The 25,302-nt window shown below is 43.7% G+C and overlaps 1 protein-coding gene across 3 annotated transcripts in view, besides 3 other annotated features; it reads left to right on the top strand.

The window, feature by feature from the left end:
- The window catches only part of PRR5L (proline rich 5 like), a 168,917-nt gene that overhangs the window by 61,502 nt on the left and 82,113 nt on the right, over window positions 1-25,302 (top strand). The window contains exons 1-2 of one of the 3 annotated variants that reach the window (NM_024841.5): window positions 18,196-18,369; window positions 18,840-18,915. The exons of 1 other annotated variant lie outside the window; for it this stretch is intronic. Coding sequence is in view for 1 of the 2 variants with exons in the window: in NM_001160168.2 (NP_001153640.1) it covers window positions 18,368-18,369 (2 nt within the window). In the remaining variant the exon portion in view is untranslated. Of the gene's footprint in view, window positions 1-18,195; window positions 18,370-18,839; window positions 18,916-25,302 lie in introns of those variants that run through there. One more of the 3 variants, NM_001160168.2, reaches the window with a different exon arrangement.
- Window positions 8,090-8,384: a silencer, noted in NCBI's record as "tiled region #5372; HepG2 Repressive non-DNase unmatched - State 24:Quies, and K562 Repressive DNase matched - State 9:DNaseU". NCBI's record gives its function as "represses a minimal TATA promoter and a strong SV40 promoter by Sharpr-MPRA in HepG2 and K562 cells {active_cell/tissue: HepG2 | K562}" and the evidence as "EXISTENCE:reporter gene assay evidence [ECO:0000049][PMID:27701403]".
- Window positions 19,406-19,977: an enhancer, noted in NCBI's record as "H3K4me1 hESC enhancer chr11:36398745-36399316 (GRCh37/hg19 assembly coordinates)". NCBI's record gives its function as "activates a minimal SCP1, AML or CMV promoter by ChIP-STARR-seq in naive H9 embryonic stem cells {active_cell/tissue: H9 hESC(naive)}" and the evidence as "EXISTENCE:reporter gene assay evidence [ECO:0000049][PMID:30033119]".
- Window positions 19,571-19,720: a silencer, noted in NCBI's record as "silent region_3266". NCBI's record gives its function as "represses an Ori minimal core promoter by ATAC-STARR-seq in GM12878 lymphoblastoid cells {active_cell/tissue: GM12878}" and the evidence as "EXISTENCE:reporter gene assay evidence [ECO:0000049][PMID:35858748]".

Genomic DNA, 25,302 nt, shown 5'->3' on the forward strand with positions numbered 1-25,302 from the left:
AGGAGATTAATGTTTTCTGCCTGCTAACACAACATCCGTTCTGCAGCCCAGGGATCAAGGAGTAATTTTGATTTTCAAGTCTTATTATTTAAGAAATACGTTTTGTAAGGCTAAAGCTGTCATAGATAGTGTCTCCTCTGATGGATCTGAACAAAGTCAGTTGAAAATCTTCTAGAAAGGATTAACCATTTCAAGTGCCATTAAGAACATTTGTGATTCATGGGAGGAAGTTGAAACCTCAGCATTAACAGGTGTTTAGAAGAAGTTGATTTCAACCCTAATGAGTGACAGTGGTTTCTTGAGATAGAACCTCCTCCTGATGAAGATGCTGTGAACATTGTCAAAATAACAACAAAGATTTAGAATATTACATAAATTTAGTTGATAAAGCAGCGGCAGGGTTTAAGAGGACTGACCCCAATTTTGAAAGAAATTCCACTGAGGGTAAAATGCTATCAGCTATCTCTTGTGAAAGGAAGAGTTTTTTGTGAATGGAAGAATCAATCAATGAGGCTAACTTCGTTGTTGTCTTATTTTAAGAAATTGCCACAGCCACCCTAACCTTCAGCACCCACCACCCTGACCAGTCAGTCAGAAGCCATCAACATTGAGGCAACACCCTCCACCAGCAAAAAAGATTACTACTCACTGAAGCCTCAGATGATCAACATTTTTTAGCCGTATTTTTAAATTAAAGTATGTACATTTTTTAGGCACAATGCTATTGCACACACTTTTAATAGACTACGGTATAGTATAAGCATAACTTTTATATGCACCAGGGAACTCAAACATTTGTGTGACTCACTTTATTGTGATATTATTATTCACTTTATTGCTATGGTCTGGAACCAAACCTGCAATATCTCCAAGGTACGCCTGTATATAACTTCCAAGAATTTGGCAGTAACTGTCAGGAAAGAAATAGAATTACAACTACAAGGAGTAGCCAGCCATGTAGAGGTTTGTTTTTTCTTCTTCCCAAGGTGATAAATACACAATGGAAGTAAGAAAAAGGGCTGGCAAAGGGGAAGAGGATGAAGATACTGAAGAGGAAGGAAAGATACTTCATACATCTGGGAGGCGATAGTGCTCAGGGCACTGGTTAAGGGCTTTGGCACCTGGCTAGATTTGGAGATGTTTTGCATTTTACTTATTGACAATCCCTGATACATCAGTGCTTGGATTTTTAGTAATCAGTGGTTGGATTTTCAGTAACGTGGACCCACACTGACTTGCAGGCTCATATTCTTGTGGTTGGATGGTCCTTTATCTAATGCTAGGAGAACTGCATTTGAGTCCCAGTGCTGCCATTAAATAGCTGTGTGTGATTTTGGACAAATAAGTCACTTCATGTCGCTGAGCCTCAGTTTCCTCATCTGTAAGTGGCAGATTTGAACTAAAGATCCAGGGGTCCTTTGTACGTGAAGCGGTATTAACTTCTAATGAGAATAGAAGGATGTTCTGCCATTTTAGGTGAAAGATTAATCCTCTTATTGAAAGATTTTGTCTTAGCGTGGGAGAGAGGCCACAGTCACTTCCTTCGGTGTTGGAGAGAGAGGTGATTTGACCAGAATTGTAATAGAGTCCACATTATATTTATACAAGTGTATACTATTCTTTGAAATGGATTAATTTGTTACTGGAGTCTAGGGCATTAATTTTAATTTTAATTTTTTTACATATTAATTATCATTTTATTCTGGTGTTTTGTTCTTTAGGAAGACACAAATGTTTGTGATCAAATGCTGACAATCAATAATGATGCAAAGATGTCAGCAATTAGTGTAACACTTTCATTAAAACGTAGAAAATAACAGATAAGATACAGACATGATGATTCCAGAGCAGATGCCATGAAGACACTAACAGTATGTCCCAAAGGAGCGGATCAACAGAGACAGAGACGGGATAAATCCAGACTGGTCTATAACAGAAACTATAGGGCATTGTTTTAAATACTTCAGAAGCCTGGCCGAGTGCAGTGGCTCACCCGTGTAATCCCAGCACTTTGGGAGACCGAGGTGGGTGGATCACCTGAGGTCAGGAGTTTGAAGGCCAACAGGGCAAAACCCCATCTCTACTAAAAATACAAAAATCAGCTGGACATGGTGATGCGCGCCTGTAGTCCCAGCTACTAGGAAGTCTGAGACATAAGAATTGCTTGAGCCTGGGAGGCAGAGGTTGCAGTGAGCCGAGATCATGCCACTGCACTCCAGCCTGGGCGACAGAGTGAGACTCTGTCACACACACACACACACACACACACACACATACACACACACCCACACACACACACACACACAGACACACAAAACAGAAAACTTATGTTCTTTATTAGCTAAATTCATGCCTGAATCTCAGGAGAATCATGAAATATTGCTACCTTGTGTCTAGTAGAATGACAATGACATACTGTTCTTCTCTGGACAAGTCTACCTATTATTAGTGGGATGGTTACCTCCCTAAGTGTTGAGTTCTCAGGAAGGAGGATCAAATGGGATATCTATGTGCTAACCATCAGTTGCTAACAGTATTTAATAAGCATAATTTTCTCTAACCACCAGAGTTATAAAATATAACTCAGCAAATGCTTAGAGTGCCTACTATGTATAAGGTACCAAACAGGAAAATGGGGACGAGAGATGTCAGTTTTGCTGATCAAAGCCTGTCACCCAATAAAAACCCAAAACAGGAAACCATGACAAATATCTGACTATCTGGTGTGCAGCCATTTGGAACACAAAGGGGTATGTGCACATGTAACATCGCACATGTAACACACACACCCACATGCATGCAAGCCATCAGCTCAAGGCGTATGTGTGTGCATGCATAAATGCATGTGTGTGTGTATGTTTAGGGTCAGTGTGGAATAATAGGCTGAATAAGAGGGTAAGGTTTTATGATATACACCCAGGGGGAAAATCTGTGTAAGTCATGCTTTTATCTTGTTAGGTATATGTTATTACTCAAGAACACTTACACCTGGTGATCCAGCAGCTCAAACACACATACATGCACACACTCCTAACTTGATATCACCCTGGTGTACACTAATTGTCTTAAGCCACTCATTTGATTCAAGAAGCAAGTATAACTCTACAGCAGCAGTTCTCGACATGTGGTCAGAGACCCCTGAAGTTGCCTGCAGGAACTGTGAAGTCACGCAGGGCCCCATGCTCAGAGCTCAGTTCAATGTTCTGCTGTGGCTGTCTTGAAATGCTTTATAACTTTTGGACAAGAAACAGCACTTTCACTTTGCACTGGTCCCCACCTATGTAACTCATCTTAGTTGCTTGAGATCCTTTTAGGAGGTCCATGAGCTCAAAACTATTTTAACAAGACTAACAACATTAATATATTATTTGCCTTTTCTACTCTGATTTTCACACAAGTATACAGTGGAGTTTTCCGGAGGTGACATGGCATTGGTATTGCAACAGACTAAGTGCACAGCAGATACGAGAATCCAGATCTCTTAGGCCAGATATTCAAGAGATTTGCAGAAATAAAAAACAAAGCCACTTTTCTTGCTATATATACCTTTTGCTTTTGGAAAATATAGCTATTTTTCATAAAAATACATTACTTATGTTAATTTGTAATGGCTTTTAAAATTATTTTTAAATCGATTAATAAATAACCAAGGATTTTCTCAGTTTTAGTTTCTAATATGTTAAGTATCAACAGATATAACTTATAAAAACAAAAGACTTTAAGGCTCATAATAATTTCTAAGACTTTAAAGGGTTACTGAGTTCAAAAAGTTTGAGTCACTGATCTCTAGGTATTTACTGTTTCTACCAGAGGAAAGAAATCATTGTGGGAATGTGATCAAACGATAGTGTGTTTGCTTATACTTGTTCATTTATGTGGGCAAATCAATGTCTACTGAAAAAAATGAGGTAAAGAGACAACCTTTTTCATTACCCTTGGACTTCTGCAGAATTTTCCTAAGTGTGACCTAACACAAGTCACTTGTTTTTACTTGTTTTTCTCCTTTGTTTTAGAGCAGCAGGTTCTAGGTTATATCTAACTCTTGTGGTTTTCTAAAATGGAATGGCTGTTAAAGAGAGATCGCGAGCCTCTCTTCCCTCGAGGGGCTTGGGAGAGGTGATACAGACGATTCCAGCATGAGGCACAGTTGGATAAAGTGACCTCTGAGGGTCCTTTCAGTTTGGAGGATGCTAGTAGAGAGAGTCTTTTCCCTTACCAAGTTCAAAGTCGGGGGGTGCTGAAGTAATAACAAATGAGTACATAAAAGGCAAAAAAAAAAAAAAAAGACATTCTGTCAGCACGGAAGCAGCAGGCAGTCACCAGAGACTCCTGCCTTCCATTGGCGAACCGGTCACCGGCTCCGTCCTGAAAACAGAACTTGCTCCGAGTGATGTAGGCAAGGGAGAATGCTTCTGATGGGAGGGCAGGGCAGGGTGGGTATGGGAATCGCATGCTCTCATTCTTATGACTCTGACTCACTGAAACGGATCCCTCCCTTCCCTTTTTGAGGACCCTATTCCTTCACTTTTAGCACCAAAGTGCTGACGTGCCTTTTCCCCACTTGTCTTTAGAAAATCTATCTTGCAAGTGAATGCTAAGGTGCTGGGCTATTGACAGTTTCACACATCACCCTTGGCGGGGTGGGGGTGGGCGGACGGGGGCGGTGGTTGGTGGGAAACAATGACAAGGAGAACCGGAGACAGTATCTTTACCCCAGGAACAAATCTCCAAAAAAGGACGTTTTAGACACTGGGCAAGCAGAATTGACATATTGGGGAAAGAATGTTTTTCTAGCACTTCTCACACCATGCCTGCTGTTTCTGTTTGAAAGCATAATCAATTATGTCTGTCCTCCCTTCTTCTCTCCACCCATCTTTCCTTTCTCACTTCCACTTTTCCTCCTTCCTTCCATAAAAGGTCTTATGGATTCTCTGTTATAGCCCAGGAATTGCTTAGATATTGGGGATTCAAAGATAAATAATGTGCTGTCATTGATTTTATAATTTGTGAGTGGCGACAGACAGGTAAACTGATCACTGTAACAAGAGGAGGCAAATGCTGCATGGGTGGGGGCTGGGGGGTGGTGTGTGTGCTGAGTGCTTGGGCAGCCTGCCTGGGATGGAGGAGCAGGGCAGCCCTTTGACCTGGCTCCTGCAGGGGAAGTGGGTATTTCTAAGGGGGAGAAAGAGAACAAGGTTCTCCAGGCCCAGAGACGTTAAGTCGTGCACCCAGGTTCACATGGCTATGTCACTGGACCAGGCCTGAGCCTGGTTTGTCTCTGCACCCTCGACCTGTGTGCAATAACTACTGCCTTTCCCAGACCACAGGCATCTCAGTGTGCCTGGGCATAGGATGAGGTGAGAGGGAAAGAGTGGCCGGGAATGAGGCTGTGGTCAAGATTCCACACACCATTCTTTGCATCATACCAGGAGACAGAAAGAGAGGCAAATATTTATGGACCAGGAGAAAAGTAAGCCCAATTCTTTGCTGTTAACTTACATTCATGACACAAGTTATTTAAAATATATTCCTGGAGTGCTTTCGAAGTGTGAGGGCAGACATCACTCCTTGACCTCTGGGAGCTCATATCTTTCTTTCCAGATTAGCTGGGGACAGATTGACTGTACTAAGCAGAATTCACTGTTAATAGCTCAATGCCTTTTCTGCAGATGCTGTGGTTACAGCTCCTCACCGCTTCCTTAGAAGCTCTTTTGCCCCTTCTGATAATAAATGACCTGACTCTTGTCTTTTCTTTTCCCCTTCCTCCTGACCCGCCTTTGAGAGATGAATCAACCCCCGGGCAGGTTTCCTGCAAGGAGTGGAGGAAGGGCCCCAGCTCCTAGACCAGCAGAAAAAGCAGGAGTTGACTGATTTCTGCTAAGCTCACTTGACAAAGGGATCTGGTCCCCTTTACCTACCAGTCTTTCTGTACCTGCCTGACACTGGCAAGGCACTTACTCTTCCAGAAACAGCTGGGCCAGAGGAAAATGGCCCACCCCTCCCACAAGAATGCCAAGAAGCAATCGGCTGTTAATTTCCAGTAGGACGAACAGGAACCCTTTCAACCAGGAAATCTAAATTGAACAGTGATTAAGTCATTCAAGCTCCATGGCCCTGTTTAATTTCCAGGTCTACAGATGGCTCTGCCTTCCTCTTAGAGACCATTTTTAGCCACTGGTCTTGGGAGGGTATTTCACTTTTAAATAAGGCACCTGCATGTTCTTGTCAGGCTGCACTCTGTGGTGGTTAAACCCACAGACTAGTGGGGGCAGAATGTCCAGGTGTGAATTTCAGCTCTGCCATTTGCTGTGTGACTTTGGGCAAGTTACTTACCTCTCTGTGCTTCAGTTTCCTCATCTGTGAAATGGAAATAATAATAATTGCACTGGGCTCATAGTGTTGTTTCATGTTTTAGGAGAATTAATGAGTTGACACTTGTGATGTGCTGAGAGCTATGCATAGTAAACATTTTTGGGGGTTAAATTAATACACATATTTAACTATCCAACTGTGAATGGGACTTGCCTTTGTCCTTTCCTTCTCTCGTGAGGTCTGTCATTAGATAGAGGGAATGAATTTAGTAAAGAGGTTAAATGCAGAGATTTGGGGATCAAATTGCCTCAGTTCAAGTCCTGACTCCACCACTTAATTAGAGGTTAAGTCACCTCACCCCTCTGCTCTTCGGTGTCTTCATCTGTAAGGTAGGTTATAATTGCACCTATTTCTTAGGATGGTCATGGAGAATGAGCTTTGTAAAGTTCTTAGAATAGTGCCTGGTGCTTAGCTTAGTAAGTGCTCAGTAAATTTTACCTATTGCATTATTACAAACTCAAAAAAAGTGCCATATAAACACAGCAGTTTTGATTATACAAGCTACAAGCTGCCCAAAGCTAACATCCTTAGCAAGTGTAGCCAGGACCTCAAGCCAGCTCCTAGAGGCTGGCTGTGTGTTAGTCAGCAGGAAGCTTGGCAGTCTGTCCAGGTGTGGAAGAGCTCAGCTCTCCCGTGTTTGAGTCCTGACTTTCCTGCTTGTTAAAGGTGTGACGTCGGGCAATTTGACATCTCTAAACCTCAATTTGTTTCCTTTCTCCCTCCCTCCGTTCCTTTCTCTCTTCCTTCCTCTAGTGAACATTTATTGAGTGGCTGCTCAGTGGAGGAGGCACTGTGTGAAGTTCTAGATATTCCCCAATAGACAGTTCAGTGATCCGTACATCACAGGCAGGCTGTAAGGATTAAACGAGTTACTATCTGCTGGGGGCTTAGTCTGGGCCTGGTACTTAATGTAAACTCAGTAAATAATGGCTGCTCATGCTGATTTCCTATCAAACGTCCTTAGATCATATCTGTTAGGTCTCATCATCCCTTCTGTGAAGGAGGTAGCTGGTTCTTATGATAAAGCACTTAGCGGGAATGATCGTTCAAGTTTACTTGCTTTGTTTCTGCAGTGGAAACTGAAGCAGGGCTTTTTTTTTTCTCTGTAAATTTGGGAGACTATCAGCAGACCAGTCATCCAAGAAATTAAAAAGCCGAAAGCAGAGTCTACTGAGTAGACTCAATTAAGATCTCCCCTCGTCTTATACAGTCTCGGGTCCTTTCGAAGCAAGTTTGACTGACAGGGAATTCTTTTGTCTAGGACCACATTTCCCAATTATATCCTGCTGAATATTATTTCCTTAAGCTGTTAATAGTATTCCATGAAATGAAATTAAACTATTGAATTTTTTTTTCTGAAGACCACCTCCAAGTTCTTAATATACGACTGCATTTTACAGTATTGCATGGAGTATTTTTCCAAAAGTTATTAGACTAAGGAATGTTTCTCCAGCAACACCAGCAACATTTCATGGTATTATCCCTTCCCCTTCTTGGGGAACAGTTTGAGAAATGCCCATCTAGGATAGCTAAGCCAGACTTCATCAATGAAAGCCAGGCTGAAACACCAAAACTCTGGTAATACAAGTATTATATTTAGGAAAAGAATTGAAGCAGATGTTGAGTGATGGGCCAGTCTGTGTTATTGTCAGACTAGAACTGCCCACCAGTTAACGCTGGAGAAAGAAGAGAGTTCTTTGTGAAGGGCAGCCATCCACCTGGCTGGCGTGTCTCACCTTGACTGAGTGAGACATTCAAGCACTGCTAGGTACAGGTGCTGCTAGGGGACAGGGCATCTTTCCTCTGTTCACTTTCTGCTCTTGCAGAAATCTAATTTCTCACATCCAGCAGAAAACCTCCCTGCAATGAGTGGTTTGGATGAGAATATTTATCTTCCCCAAACAGTTTTGCAACTTCCTCTTCCTTAATTGGGAGGTCAAGATGACTGAAGAACTTACACTGGGAAATAAAACTGTATAATTTGTAGTTATTTCTACCTCTGTCAAGCTGTGGGACCTTGGGAAATGACTAAGCTGTTTCTTTTAATCTCAACTTCTTCATCTATAAAATGGGGATAATAATAGCACCTCTTTCCTGGTGTTGTCTGGGGAGTAAGTGAGCCACTGCTTGCAAAGTACCTCACATAGTGTCAGCACATGGTACATCTGCAATTCATATTTTTTTGCAATTAATATTAATGTCAGTTGTAATTTTTTTGTTTTTATCAATTCCATATTTGTGTGTGTGTGTGTGAGAGAGAGAGAGAGAGGACAAAAAGGGAGGAAGAGGGAGGCATATGCCATACTTAGAGTATAATGTAAATTCTATTTTGCAAAGGAAGATTTTGAGTAAAATGAAAAACAAATACATTTCCTATTAATGACATCTCTTTTGCTAAAGAGATAATTTATAAATGTGATTTTAGGTAGAAAGTCCTAGAAACCAAATTACTAATTAATTAGTATTTTAGTTTATTCGTCACTCTCTGGGGAATGTAGTTAGCATGAGTTAATCCCTCAAAGCTTACTTTGTATGGGATGTACCTTGTATTATGGTGCCTAGGACGCTAAATTAGTGGTTAGAGGGTTGTACAGTAGGCTTTGACTCTGAGGAAAGGGGCTGAGATTGCCTTGAGGAATTTTTGATTGGGTCTCTTGAATAGCCTAAATAAACTATCCTGGCCAGAATTCTTTCACAGTAGAGTTTAAAACTCCTCTCTCCTTCTTTCTCCCCTTCTTTGCCCTCCCTTCCTTCCCTTCTCCTCCCTTCTCCCACAGACAGGAATGAATAAGCATACACAAATTTTTCCTTATTCCATTCGCCTTTCTATATATCCAATGCAGACTGCTGTCTTATGTCATTATTTATATTATATTCATGTGATTATGTTCCTTATCTTGATTTTATCTGTTTCTGAAGTGGGAAGGGTGTAAATGTCATTTTTTATTTTTAAGATTACGACTGTATTTCCATATTCTCAGACCACTTATTGAAGTCTCATTTATATTCAACAGCATGCAGTAATACACATCAGAATGTAAATAAAGGCTAAAACATATGTTCAACAAATTGGGAATAGAATAAAATACTAGGCTTTGCCATAAAAGAATTGAGATTATTTATGTGGGGAAACAAACATAATGGTTGGTCAATAACACACAAGTTCTCTTATTTCAAATATGGTATCTAATTATTTTTCTTTGTTACTAAAAAATGTATTACAATGTGCCAAGCATTGTGCCAAGTATTTCACACGGCTCTCCTAAACCTCATTTAGGCCTCATGAAATCCCTAAGAAACAGGTAGTGTCTGCAACTGAGACTCTCACTGCCTTCAAATGGAACTGTCCTTAAATGGTACTACCAGGTCTCAGTCCAAACCTTAGCCTTTTTCCCCACAAGGAAACATTGATTGACCTAAGGTTTGGCTTATACTAGAAGGGATGACTGTTCTGGTCAAGATATTTGGGTTTCAAAGGACAACTTGACCTGGACCCTGGACCCCACTATCTCAAATAAAAGGAGTGTCTCATAGAAATAAGCCCAAGCCAGGCTTCATGGGAGCCGGGACCAGAGAACTTCTCTCTCTCTCTCTCTCTCTCTCTCTCTCTCTGTTGCCGTCTCTCTCTCAAAGTAAATACAATGAAGTGTATGAGGTAAACAAAAAAAGGGTAAGAGAGTCCAGGGTGTATGTGAGGGAGTTAATATAATAAGGGAATCTAATCTGGGTGAGGAGGGAAGTGAGGACTTGAGGATGACCAGCCGTGGGTTAAGATAGTATATCTCGGGGGAGCTGAAGATTTGTGGGAGCCAAAGTACTAGAGAGAATGACCGTGAAAGATGGGAGGTGGTGTTAAGAGAGTGGGAGTGGGTGTAAATAGGAAATGAAAACGTCAAGGCTGACCGTGAGAGTAAGTGGCTGCCGTAGATTGGAGAACAAGGTCATCAGGGCAGAGGTCAAGGATCTGAGCTTCTGGGATATTGGAAAAATTATTTCTATGAATATTGAAATCATGGAGAATTATGAAAAGAGCAACATCTAAGAGAGTGATCATAAACCAGGTCTGAAAATTTCAAGGCAAGAGGGAGATAACCCAGGAATCTGTAATGACCACTACAGGGGCAGGGGATAGCGAGTAGAATAGTCTAATGGCTTGATGGGGATTTTAGGGAGGGATTGTGGTCTGGAAGTGGCACAAAAAAACAAGGAAAACAATAACTCCACCTCAAAGTCCAGTCATGCCATGAGTGTGGGAGAGAAAATACCATCATTTGAGAGGATTTTTAGGGCCTCAGCAGAAAAGCAGAGTTCACTTTGAACAGCGATTCTCAAAATGTAGTTCAGGGACCCTTAGGGAATCTCTAAGACCTGGCAGAGATCCACAGCTCAAAACTATTTTCATAGAAAACTAAGATATTATTCACCTTATCACTCTCATTCTCTCACAAGTCTGTAGTGGAATTTTCCAGAGTCTACGTAATGTATGATAATGCAACAACAGATTGAATGCAGAAGTCAGTAGAAGAATCCAACTGTCTTCTATTAAGCCAGGCATTAAAGAGATTTTCAGAAATGTAAAACAATACCATCCTTCCCAGTACTTTTGTTCTGTTTTGTTTTGGAAAATATAGTTATTTTCCATAAAATATGTGATGGTTTTACTATTATTTTAAACTGAATACATTAATTTTAATTTTTAATTTCAAATACAGTAAGTATTGATAGACACTACCCACGAAAATCAAAGCTCTTAGGGTCCCCAATCACTTTAAAGAGAGTCGTGAGACAAAAATGTTTGACAACCACTGAGTTAGTACATAAAGGCAAAGGAAATGCTCAGGAAAGAAGTCGAAGTGTAGGGGATTTTGCTGGTGATGGACTATGGGTTTCAGGGTGCACAAAAGGAGGTTTGGGAATGAGGAAGGGCTGGGAGACAGGTCAGAAACTGGGATGGATAAAAGCACGTGGTGATGATAATCTGGGGTGATTAAGACAACCTTAGGCCCTGATCTTTGAACTGATGGGCAGAGACAAGGATGCAGGGCATAAGGTGGCCAGTCCTGATGACTGCAGTGCAGAGAGTGATGCTGAGGCTGAGGCTGAGTGTTGTGAGGAAACCAGAAGCCAGCTTCTGCTGGGGGAGGATGAAGCTGGGAGACCAGTTATCTTATATAGCACGTGGGTTCCTTAGTTTGTATCCCAAAGGACACTTTGATTGGCACATCTCATCTACTCATGTGTCAGGTGCCCAGTCCCAGGACCAGTCACCTGATACAGGTCTAGGACAATCCACTGCCCCATTCTGCAGAGTCTGAGGTATGTGATGGTTCCTGGAAAAGGCGGTATGGTCTGGTCAGATGCCCCCCAAAGGCATCTACAATCACCAAGAAAGACGAAAATCTCTTGTGTTTTGGATAACTCTGGGAATTTATTTATTTATTTATTTATTTTTGAGATGGAGCCTCACTCTGTCACCCAGGCTGGAGTGCAGTGGTGAGATCTCAGCTCACCACACCTCTGCCTCCCAGGTTCAAGCGATTCTCCTGCCTCAGCCTCCCGAGTAGCTGGGACTACAGGCTCCTGCCACCATGCCTGGCTAATTGTTTTGTATTTTTGGTAGAGATGGGGTTTCACCATGTTGGCCAGGCTGGTCTTGAACTCCTGACCTCAGGTGATCCACCCGCCTTGGCCTCCCAAAATGCTGGGATTACAGGCATGAACCACCATGCCCAGCCTGCAACTCAGTATTTATTTGGAATGTTTCCTGTTCAATCCTGTCTTAAGATGCAGAGAGGGGATTATTTGCAATGGAGTGTCTTCCATTGATGCAAAAGGCCTTCTAGGAAATGAACTGGGCAATACAATGGCAGCATGTTTGATCATGGCAGTGGTGACTTCCCACTGTGACCAACTCCTTACCAGGACCTTACCATGACCTTGCTCTGTTGCTTGGACCTCATCTTGTCCCCCACCCCACCTGTTTCCTATGCTTCAACCATAGGGGCTTGCTTTCTCCTTCTAACTTGCCATGCTTCTTCCTGACTCAGGGCCTCTGTACTGACCATTTCTTCTGTTTGGAACATTCTTCTGTTTCCATAAATGCCTCTTTTCATCATTTAAGTCTCAATTTCAAAGTTATCTTCTATGGAAGATCATCCTTGATGACCCTATGTAAAGCATTTCTCTTCTTTTTTTCCAGTCACTCTAGTTTGTCCTCTTCGTAGCACACATCAGTACTTGAGATGATCTCCTTTATGCATTTGTTTCCATGTGTAATGTTTGTCTTCTGCTCTTTGGTGTTAGAAACCTTGTCTTTCTTGTTCACCATTACATCACTGGTGCTTGACACCAATAAGTGGCCAGCCAGTATTTGTTGACCAAATGACTGACTTAGGATTGTGGGAAGGAATAACTGAAATCCTTGAAAGTTATCCAAGAGGCCGGGCGAGGTGGCTCACGCCTGTAATCCCAGCACTTTGGGAGGCCAACGCGGGCAAATCACAAGGTCAGGAGTTTGAGACCAGCCTGGCCAACCTGGTGAAACCCCATCTCTACTAAAAATACAAAAAATTAGCTGGGTGTGGTGGCAGGCACCTGTAATCCCAGCTGCTTGGGAGGCTGAGGCAGGAGAATCACTTGAACCCCGGAGGTGGAGGTTGCAGTGAGGCAAGATCACGCCACTGCACTCCAGCCTGGGCAACAGTGGGAGACTCCATCTCAAAAAAAAAAACAAACAAAAGAAAGCAAACAAAAAAAACAAAACAAGAAGAAAATTATCCAAGAAAAATTCAAGTAGGATCACCAAATTTCTTTTTTCCCTGTTAAGATTTGCTTATTCAAATTATTCTCAGACAGTCAGATTTAATTCACTACGAGCCACTTTAGAATGGAGGGCAGACACTCCCCAATACCAAAAGACAGAAACGATGATAAAACCCAACATACCAGAAATACCCCATTGCTAACAAGAGAAGGATGAAAGGGACTAAAATAATTATTTTGCTTATGTCATCCAAAATTCTCCCAAAAAGCAGACTTCAGGGTTCTCAATTTTTCTACTGTGGAAGTTACAAGGAAGGCAGAAGGAGGGCAAACTTTTATCATTTGTGTGCTAAATCTCCATGCTGTACCAAAGGTCACTGATTTTACACCCTGGTGTTAGATCAGATGCTGAGCATATTTCTCAAATGGTCCCATTTTTATGGATAGTATAGTGCTGTGGTGGTATATTGAGTGCTTACGCAAGTTTTATATCTAGATTGGTATTTATCATGAGTAACTACATTAACTCATTTTATTACCTGAGCTCTGAGGACCTGAAAAACTGTGTGTTCTTATGTTGCACACGGCTGGGAGATCTACTTGTGCTCCTCACAAGTTGTGCTAGGCATTAACAAAGGATCTTGGATTATCAGGGCCTCCTTTTTTCCATCTACAAAAGGAGAAAACTTATGGGAGGATATATGTTTTTCTTCATTGGAATACTTTTATATCATAGTATGAGACACTAGGGTTATTGTGGAGGGAGATCAAACTTCAAACACCTAAACGTGGCAGACATTTGTTTCACACCTATTGTATCTCAGACCCCTAAGGCATTAAATGTGATAATGTGGGCTGGGCATGGTGGTTTAGGTCTGTAATCCCAGCGCTTTGGGAGGCAGAGGTGGGCGGATCACCCGAGGTCAACGGTTGGAGACCAGCCTGGCCAACATGGTGAAATCCCGTCTCTACTAAAAAAACAAAATTAGCTGTGTGTGGTGGTGCACGCCTGTAATCCCAGCCACTTGGGAGGCTGAGGCAGGACAGTCACTTGAACCCAGGAGGCAGAATTTGCAGGGAGCCAAGATCGTGCCACTGCACTCCAGCCTGGGTGACAGAGAGAGATTCCATCTCAAAAAAATAAAAAAAAATAATAATAAAATGAATAAATAAATGCGATAATGCGTAAATTGAGTAATTTTCATTATTATTCAGAGATGGAAGCAGTTAATCAGAGGAAGAGAGTGTGGACAGAGATCTCTGTCCTGTCCTTTTTTGCCTGTGTATAACTTCAAACAAGTCACCTAACCCTGCCTGAACTTGGTCTGGTTAGGCTCTGTGCGGGGTAGAAATGAGTAATGGGAATGGGGTGGGCAGGCATTGTCATGGGAACAAAGCAAAAGTAGAACAACGGACCTCTGGAAGAACAGAATCTGAAAGGTGGTTTTGATCACAAGGCAGCCTCTCAGGGAGGGCCTCTGCTTCTCCTGGTCTTGATGTCCAGTTGTCTTCTACTGCTTCCTTTATCTCAATAGTGTTCAAATTATGTGGTTCCAAGCAAGGTTTTCTTTGTAAAATGGTTTGAACCCATGCCATTCTATTGCATAATTTCTGCTTGCTCATAGCTCTGGCCCCTTCTAACTATGTGTCCGCATCCCTTGCAAGCTGCATTCAGAGTGGCAGGAAAATGGGCGATCAGACTGGTAACAAGAGAAGCAGGGAGTGGCTGGGATTGTGGCAAACTGGAAACTGCACGTTCTCCCTAAAAGGGAGAAAAAGCACTGCAGAACTAGCCAATTACAGAGTGCAGGTCTGCAGCAAGAATGATGCCAGGTCCCCTAGGTTTTTCAAGGCAAGCTGAAAAATCTGTATTTTTGCATGACGTTTTCTAATTTTAAAATATTGGCAAGTAGTTCAAACAATGTTGACCTCATAAGGTTCAAACAATACAATCTAATATAGAACATTTAACGAGCCCACAGCCAGTGTGCAGCTTTTAGAATCTAGAGTTCAGATAAAGTCACAAACTTCAGCTTTTGCGCTGCCTAATAGTTGTGTGTGTGTGTGTGTGTGTGTGTGTGTGTTCACATTCCTGAAATGTAATCTTACTGGTGAAGTGTACTTTTTGGGGCCAAAATTTTCACAGCACAAATCTATGGATTGGATGCACCTGGGTTAGGTGCCCACCCTTAGTCTTAAAGGGGGCTGCCTCAGGGATAGCTACTCTTTCAACAGGAGCCTTGATTGGACTGACTTCCATTTCAGAGGTTGTGGACATGGCAAGCTGTGTATATATCTAATAAAGACCTAGAATTTCCTCCTCATAAATTAATGTTTAACTAGAATGACCAACACTGGTTTCTCCTATGAAGATTCTGTTTCTTAATAAGAAAAAGCAAAGTCCCATTGACATTTAGGTAGAATTTTGGTTAGAATTTGGCTGGTGACAAGCATCATATATTGGCATTAATGGTCCTTAAGGAGAAGCTCTGATTTCCATGGAAATACTGACTACTTCTCCTCTTAAGAAAATTCTGGCTTGGCGTGGTGGCTGTGATCCCAGTGCTTTGGGAGGCTGAGGCAAAGGCTCAGTTGAGCCCAGAAATTTGAGGCTATGGTGAGCTATGATTAAGACACTGCAGTCCAGCCTAGGCGAGAGAGCAAGACTCTGTTTTAAAAAAAAAAAAAAAAGAAAGAAAAAATATCTGCTTACAAAATGAGAAACTCTTAGGGTTAGAAAAGAATTTAACCTCTTTAAACTTCCCTTTCAGTCCTTCAATACTTTTTTATGGCATGCTCGTATGTTGTGAATACTTCTCTTTACCAGGAAGTACGCTTCTCCCAGAGGAGACTCTTTCATCTTTAGACAGGCCTCATGATTAACCTTTTTTTTCTTATTGCACAATGCCCTGCCCACCATAGGCAATCAGTACAGCATACGCTAAATAAGTTCATTTCTATGTCATTTGCTGAGTACATACTATGTGCCAGACACTATTCTAGAAACTTGGGCAATATCAGTGAATTAAAAACATCAGATTTGTTTAACTGAACCGATCCCTTATAGAGCTGATGTTCTACCCTGAAAGTAGGAGGTGGTAAAAGACAGATAATAATTTTTTCCTCCTTCCTTCCTTCCTTCCTTCCTTCCTTCCTTCCTTCCTTCCTTCCTTCCTTCCTTCCTCTCTCTCTCTCTCTCTTTCTTTCTTTGTCTTGCTCTGTCTCCCAGGCTGGAGTGCAGTGCTCACTATATCCTCCACCTCCCAGGTTCAAGCAATTCTCTGCCTCAGTCTCCAGAGTACTTGGGATTACAGGCACCCGCCACCATGCCCGGCTAATTTTTGTATTTTTAGTAGAGATGGGGTTTCGCTATGTTGGCCAGGCTGGTCTTGAACTCCTGACCTCGTGATCTATCCGCCTCAGCCTCCCAAAGTGCTGGGATTACAGGCGTGAGCCACCACACCCGGCCAAAATTTTTTTCTTAAAGTAAACCATACAATGTGTTACAAGGTTATAGATGCTATTAAAAAAAAAAAGCAGAGTTGAATGAGGGAGACTGGGAGGGAGGGGCGAATTACAACTTTAAATAGGTGGAATAGGGTAGGTCTTATTGAAATAAAACTTGAAGGAGATTGAGAGAGTTAGCAATGTAGAATGGATGTTCCCAAACTGATCTCCCTGCAGCCGGGTAGAACTAGTTCCCTTTCCACTTCCCAGGCCCTAGGGATAATGATAGGAAAAATAATAGCTTAATATCCTTTGAATCCCAGCAGGGATTCTAAACACTTTTTCTGTATGAATTCACTAAATCCTCATAGCCACCCTAAGACAGAGCTACTACTTTTATCCCCATTTTCATATGAGTAAACTGAGGCACAGCAAAGTTAAGTAACTTGGCTAATAACCAGAGTATGGGAAGAAGAGGAGCTGCTGTGGAGACCTTGCCATTTTGGCTCCAGGCTTTGGCTCTTAATCCCTTAGACGAGCCTCTTTTAAGTCTCCTCCCTGCTCATTGTCCTCTCAGTTTCTTGCCAGGCACGGTGGCTTATGCCTATAATCCCAGCTCTTTGGGAGGCCGAGACATGTGGATCACTTGAGGTCAGGAGTTCTACACCAGCCTGGCCAACATGGTGAAACCCTATCTCTACTAAAAATACAATAATTAGCCGGGTATGGTGGTGCATGCCTGTAATCCCAGCTACTCGGGAGGCTGAAGCATGAGAATTCCTTGAACCCGGGGAGGTGGAGGTTGCAGGGAGCCGAGATCATGCCACTGCACTCCAGCCTGGATGACAGAGGGGAAACTGTCTCAAAAAAAAAAAAAAAGATTTTGTTTCCCAGGCATGTGTCCCATGCCCAGTCTCTTTCATTGTGTGTGATTCCTGGGATGAAATTTAAAGCCCTTCATCATTCTAGGGCTTCTGTTGAGGATCTTTTAGCTTTACCTAATATCGCAGGACAAATGAGACACCCAGAACTTCTTCAACCCGCTCTCATGCCCACAACCACCGTAACACATAGGTTTTGTAGGGTCGCAATGACCAAATCAAAAAATGAAAATGAGTCTTGCTCAGTTTTGAGATAAAAGGACATGCACATCTTTTTCTTCAGCAAATGTCACTGTGGTTTCAAAGCCTATGTGTGATGTGCGATCGGGCAGCATTTTTAAAGTATTTCCTGCTCAACCATAGGGTGAAATGATGCAGGTAGTGAGTCCTGCAAACAGCTGCACTAAATTCTTAACACCTGCAAAAAACAACAAGAACAACAACAAAACAAAACCCAACAGTTTTCAAAATAATTATGCATTATTTTTAATTTTTGGCTTGTTGATTTTCTGTGGTTTCAAACTCTGAAGGACCCTCTAATTCATGAAACCTGCAGTTAGAAAATGAGTTTGGGAGCTTTAAAAGAATTTGCAAACAAGGGAAAGATTTCACTTGCATTATATTTTCATCAATGCACTTAAAACAACTTCTGGAATCGCCAGAGTTCCAGGCTCCACTCCTCTCTTCAGCTCCGCCCTGCTCCTTTTTAAGTGAGCCCCAGAATCACCTCTTGGCTTGGCAGTTTCCCATTGCGGGGCAGCTGGGCCGGGGGCGGGGGTCGGCTGCAGATCTCCCGTTGTGTGAGAGAAACGCAAGCACGGAGCTCCCTTGACCTGCTGCATCCTCCTCGGCAATTTTTTTTTTTTAAGTCAAAAAGCTTGGATTTCCTGAAATTGTTGAACTGGATGTAAGTGCAGGGCCCCCCTCTCCGCTCTCCCCAGCAGGGTGAGAGTTGCTGAAGGGGAGGAGGAGTGAGATGGGGTGAAGTGAGTTGGGGGACATTGGAGAGACACTAAAGCTAGGTGCCCGGGACAGGAAAAGTGGGAGGAGAAGGAGGAAGAGGGGAGGAGGGGGAGAAGGGGGAGGAGGAGGAAGAGGAGGAGGAGGAGGAGGAGGAGGAGGAGGCGGCCGTAAGATGAGAGAGGAGGGAAACGTGTCACCAGCCCGGCTGTGGGAGCTCCGCGGCCGAAGCGTTTGTTGACTCGCGCTGGAGAGGAACCGAGGCTGGACGGGACCCCATCTGAGGGCAGAGCTGGGGGAGGAGGGAGGGACGGAGGGAGGGAGAGCTGGGCAGAGCGCGACGGGGAGAACCATCCAGGTCGCTCATTTCTCTCCGGTGAGAAAACTTCCTCGGGAAGACCGGAAACTTTTTCCTAGGCGCGCGGAGTCTGGGGCGGAGGCGAGCGGCGGGTGTGCGCGACTCGGGGTGATTCACGCCGGGGACCCCAAGGAGGTGAGTGGTGGGTGGGGGGCGTCTCTGGGAGGGGCCGGAGTCATAGGCTCAGCAACCGCGCAGGATTGAGCGAAAATTACCGCGCGCTAATCTGACGGGGCGCGGCGTGGCGGGGGTAGGAGCTAGGGAAAAGTGTCACGTTTGGGGGGGCAACCAGGTGGGAACTCCTGCATGGTTAAGGATCCTCCGATCGGACGCTGCAGGCAGGCGTAGGGGATCTTACTCGAGACCACCATGGTGGGGAGGTGGGCAGGCCACGCTCCCGGTCTGCTCTTTAGGGTGGTTGAAGTACCGCCGTGAGGTGGGATGCGGATGCTGGTGATCATGGGACCTAGGCTGAGCCGGGAGGTCGAAAAAGAAAGTCGGCTTGTTTGACTCTCTCGTTCTCCCTCTGGGGGGCAAATCTAAAGAGCTGACCCCGCTTAAGCACGGGAGATTTCGCGCCTGCAGCAGCCTTTTCCCGGCGGTCCCCCTTTTTCTGGAGGGAGGCGTGGGAGAGAAGGGCAGGGCAGGGAGCCACTTTGTCCCGTGCGCTGCTGCACGCGCGCGCTCTGCGGACTAGGGTGGGCCAGGGCCCAGCCAGTGGGGATCCCGCCGGGACGGGCTGTGAGCAAGCCCTGGGACGGCCCGGCTGCGGACCCCGCGCTGGGAGTCCGCAGTATCCCCCTTCCGTTTTATTTCTCCCGCCTGCCTTCCTTTCGGCGAGGCTTTCCTCTGCGCGCTTACTGTGCGCGCATGCCGGGCTCGCTGCACGCAGGGGGCGCTCTAGGGGCCCCGCCCGGGCAGCTGGGACCCTGCCTGCCCAACCCTCCGGCCCATTTTCCTTGAGGCCGCCGCCCGGGGTGGGACCAGGCTGTGTGCTTGCTAACTGTGCTTCAGGAATCCGCTCTGGGATGCCTTCCTGTCTGGCAAAAGGGGTTACCCCCAGTTCTACCCAGTCCCTGTCCTCGGTCACATGCTGCCGCCGCCTCTTCCCCCGCGGTGCCGGGAGCCCGCGTTTTGTTTGTCAGCAGTTAGGCGGTGAGTATTTATAGACGCCACGGCAGTCCTGCGGTGCGCAAGGTTTCAATTACTGCGATGCGCCCCACAAGACGAAAGGTTCACGCGCTGCGTCTGAGCTGCACGTCTGCCCCGGAGACCCGCGTGGAAAAAGCTCTGGGCTGGAATCTCCGGGCTTCCCTGCTTGGGCAGAATTCTGGACCTGTTGCCCAGACGACACGTGCACATTCAGATGACCCATGCTAAGGACCAAAGGGATGCCACCGGCCCAATGTACTGCCTTCATCCCCCACCATCCTCAAGGGACCCTTGCTGATCAAGCCCGGGAGACTACCCTTTTTGACCTCTCTTTGGTGATCCTGACCACCGTAGAAATTTGCAGTCATGACATTTCATTGCCCTACATACTGCAAAATGTCAAAGTGCTGAGCTGTGGTAAATTGCTCTGGGGTGGAAGGCGCTGTTACTGACAACACGAAGCAGCTAGCGGGTCAGGAGGGGAAATGGAGCTTGCAGAAACTAATTTAGCCACATTTAAAATTTAGCCCCTGGTAAGGTTCCCAGTATGACTGACGAAGGTGCAGGGCTCCTGTCTGTGGAACCTGGCTGGTTAGTCTTCTCTGGTTGCAGCCCTAGAATCAGGATCAAGGGTGCTGTTTAGAGCGGTTTCTGTAGCATGTAGCCTTTCAGATAAGGGAAGTGATGCTTGGTCAATCCACAAAGTTGTCTTCAGTTTTTCCAACTGCAACCATTGTTCTTTGAGTATGTTACTGATGCTTCTAACAACTGGAACCACTAATATGTAAAAGAAGAAAGGCACTAGAAATAAGAAAGTCTAACTAGCTTATTTCTCAAAGGCTTAGTTTAGACTACTTTGTTTCTCAAGGGTGGGACCTCATTTCTTTCAGGTCCAGAGGGCCATGGATATATATTTATTTCTGTGGGTGAAATTTCAATAATGTTCTGTCTTAGAACATTACAAATATGTGCCACTTGTTTTAAAAAGGGGAAAGGTGCAAATGCCTCTTGAGGTCTTAATGATGTCTTAAACTTTGCACTGAGAGACTTTGATAATATTATATACTCCTCATGCAAACAATGATATAGGTACTATTATATCCCTATCATATAGATGAGCCCACTGAGGCTTGGAGAATTTAAGTAATTTGTCTAAAGCCATACACACAGGGATGGAGCTGAGAATGGATTACAGATTTGTTACTCCAGACTCATAGTCTGGACATGTCTTTCCCTTCAATTCTCCATTGTTGATTAGCTCACGTTATAGTTGATTAGATGGATGGCTTTTTATTTATTTTCAAAATTTCACAGAATGTTACAAATTGGCTCAGTTATTGGGGAAAAAAGCCCTAATCTTGTCTTTAGAAAACTGTTATATTGGTTATCTGAAAATCTCTTGCTGATAGTCCAGACCTAAATCATAATCCTCACTTTGCTCCTTGACTTAATGTATCTTCAGCATTAAAGCCATTTATCTGTAGAAAATTGAATTCAGTAAGGACTTTGTGGATTACTTAATTTTTTCAGATTTCTCCATACTAATGATTTGTAGGTATGCATGTGTCTGTTTTCCTGTGGCTGTTCCTTTTGTACAAGGTAAAATATGCTGAAATCTCTCTTAAATTGCAGCCTTTTTCCTTTTCATTCTTTTTGCAGAGCTAGACCCAATACAGAATTGATTTGAAAAACAGTGTGTGAGTTCCTCTGAAAGATCCTTACAATGTCTAATGTTCATCATTAAAGGTTTGTTCTCAAGAGTTGCCTCTCTGTATGTAAAATGTAAATACATGTTAAAGGCAATGCTTGTAGAAATGACCCTTTGTTAACAAGTCAGTGTGAATTAATATTTTAGTTGCTGAAATATAGGAATAAAATATTTTGTGGATTTTGTACAGAATATTATGGGGTTTGGAATTGGGGAACAAAGAGAGCGGTACCCTGATAAGCAGAAAGCACTGTTTTACAAGAGAAGATTTCACATGGAGCCAAGGAGGGGGATGGATGGCAGTGATGGGGCATCAGAGGTGAATTTGAGTTAATTCACATTTTTGTCAGTACCTGGGGATCCAAGATTTACTTTGAAACTTGTACAGTTAAAACAAATGAGCTGACTTATTTATTGGGCAACTTCTGTGAGTCAGGTATAGCTATGGTAATGGTATTTGCGCCTCCCAACAACTCAGGTAGGAAGGTATTATTTTCTCTATTTTCAGATGAGAAAACAGAGGCTCAGAGAGGGTTGTTAATTTCCCAGTGTCACACAGCCATGAACTCAAGCGTCTTGCTCTTTTCAGTACATTTTGATATCTACCCTTGAAGGCCTTCCATGGAGAACCCAGGGTCCCAAGTTCTCAAGAAAATCCTAGTGGTTCACATGGAAGTTTCTGGATCAGAAGTCAAGGCCAGAGCTATTCAGGGACTCTAAAATGAGGAGACAGGAGGTGGGTGAACAATGAAGCCTGAAGGGATAGTCTGGATAATTCTGACAGTAGTGATGCCACAGAAGAAGGAAAGTCAGGCGCTGTGGATATTGTGAATATAGAGAATTACTAGCATTGGCCTGGGCGAGGATGGCTGTCGCATTGCAGAACACACTAGATGAGGTTCCCAGAAGGGAAGAGTGGTGAAGTGTCTCCACCTCCCTCCCGATGCCTTCTGCTGCCCGGTGTTGGCTTTATAGTCAATATAAATTAGGGAGCCTGTGGGACCTGTTTGCATTTTAATTAGACTTGGCCCTTTGAGGTTCCAGTCACTCAGTCTCCCTCTTTAAATATTCTTTTTTTATGCTTTGCCAGTTTATGGCCTTTGTAGATTAATCCTCGGATTTCATGTACGGGAGAGAGAAAGAGAGAAAAAAAGCAAAGGTTAGTGATTACCTAAATTGGATTAAGTTCTGTCTAGCAGCATTTAAAGAAATGCCTCTTGCTCCCTAATTACCATCAACTAAGAATTTAAACGGTCTATTAAATTTAAGCTGACTTTTTTAAAAAACTCCCTGAAATTTCCAGCTGTAACATATTCTGAGATTTTAGAGGTTTTTATATATTCTTCAAATGTGTAGAGGACATTCTCTGCTTTCCCCCCCTTTTAAAAAATATTGCATTTCTGGAGCAGGATAATAAATGACATCACTATATACTAACTTCGTTAAAAAGCAGAAGCTCACAGCTAGGCTCAGCTAGAAGGGTTTGTGGAGAGCAGTAGAAATCCATCTGACCGTGGCCTACGGGAAGACCTTGTAAACATCTACCCCCTCCAAACAACCTGTCATTAATTATTTGTTCAATTTATTTAGCATAGAATTATATGTTACATAAAATTATGTATTTACTCGTGTATTAAACTTGCAAAGCTTTCATTCTTCTTTTTCTCCCCTCAATTTTGAGGTGCGAATATGTTTCCCTCACCCACACATCAATATTCTGGTTTCACTTTAGCTGGTTACCAAATGCCGGCAACACTTCCACTTTACCGTTCTCTCCTTACATTACCTATTACAGAACTTTCTCCAACTTTGCTGGTTCTTTTTGACACAGGATGTGTCCTGTATTTTGTTGATGGCATCTTTGGCAGCAGTTGGGTTTCCAGCAAATACTAGGATTAAGGGACTGCAATGGACTCAGCTGTTTAGGAACTGGAGTATATGTTAGCTTAAGTTGAGCCTGGAAGAATAGCTGAAAGGATTTGTTTTTATCTTTTTCCCAAGGACAGGGGGCAGGGTAGGGGTGGGTGGGGAGGGGGAGAAAAATCTACCATTGGCTCTGATGTGTGTCTGTATCAGACTTAACTAAGCTGCCTCAAACCCTGTCACAACCTGCTTGTGACCTCAGCCACATAAATCCTTGGTGTAAACCCTTTTATGCTGCCATTTAATTCTAAATACTTCTCTGGAACTGGCTCAATATCATTCCCCAGATGTCTTTGAGGAGACCACATCGACTGCTGCCATCATTTTGGAGAACTGTTTCATCATGCTAGCTCCCGGACACCACCACTATGGAAGCAGTATGGCCACTTTCCTTGTAAAACATCTCGCAGGCTGAATTCTTGGGTAAACATGGTACTCTTTTGTGGTGTTTGGGATAATTTTTTTTTAAATTATTCACCAACAGGACAATAGATTCCTTTCAGGCCTCAAAAAAGCTCCCCACCAGCCGGGCGCGGTGGCTCACATCTGTAATCCCAGCACTTTGGGAGGCCGAGGCGGGTGGATCATGAGGTCAGGAGATCGAGACCATCCTGACCAGCATGGTGAAACCCCATCTCTACTAAAAATACAAAAAATGAGCCGGGCATGGTGGCGTGTGCCTGTAGTCCCAGCTACTCGGGAGGCTGAGGCAGGAGAATTGCTTGAAGCCGGGAGGCAGAGGCTGCAGTGAGCGGAGATCGCGCCACTTCACTCCAGCCTGGGTGACAGAGTGAGACTCCGTCTCAAACAAAAGAAAACCTCCCCACCAAGGTTGGTATCAACTTTTCAGAGAGGCAGGGTTGTTGAATGAGCCCTCATTTTGGTCCTAACGGGCATCATGGAGATAACACAGGTTGAGGAATTGAGATCTGGAATCTGATCTCAGCTCTGCCATAAGCAAGCTGTATGACCATGGTGAGTTGCTCAGTTATTCTGGGCCTCAGTTTCCCTATTTACAAAGTAATGACTTTGGCCTACCACTAAGCTTCCATTCTGTTCTAAAATTCCTTGATGGCCAAGGAAGCATGGTCTAGAGCTGTGCTTCTGAAAGCGCACATGCATCACCTGGAGATCCTGTTAAACCACAGAATCCGATTCAGTAGGTCTGGGCTGGTGCCAGAATGTCTAAGAAGCTCCCAGGCAATGTTGATTCTGTTGATTCCCAGACTACAATGCGGGTAGCAGGGCACTAGAGCCTTGGTCAGGGCTTCCCCACCTTGGCCCTATTGATGGTTTTGGCGGATAATTCTTTGTGGTGGGGGCTGTCCTGTGCATAGTAGGATTTTTGGCAGCATCCTTGGCCTCTACCCATTAGATGCCCATGGCATCCTCCACTCTCATAGTTATGACTATCAAAAAGTGTCTCCAGGCAGTGGGACAAAATCGCCCCTAGTTGAGGACATTGGTCTAGACCAGTGTTATCAAGCCTAGTTGTACATCAGAATCACTTGGAAGATATCTGGGAAGTACAAATTTAGGTATCTTGGGCCCAGTGAATGAAAATGACTAGGGGAGGGCCCAGGAATCTATATTCCTTAAAAATAAGGTGATAGAGATGGCCTGGAATTCTTCTCTTTGACAGTCTGAAAAAGTACAAGATCTACACCTGAGTTCTGGTGTTATCCCTCCATAGCTATGGGACCACACAGGCAAGTTGCTTAAATGCTCTGAACCAGAAA

The sequence above is a fragment of the Homo sapiens genome, chromosome 11 (genome assembly GCF_000001405.40).
Source record: "Homo sapiens chromosome 11, GRCh38.p14 Primary Assembly".
Lineage (NCBI taxonomy): Eukaryota > Metazoa > Chordata > Mammalia > Primates > Hominidae > Homo > Homo sapiens.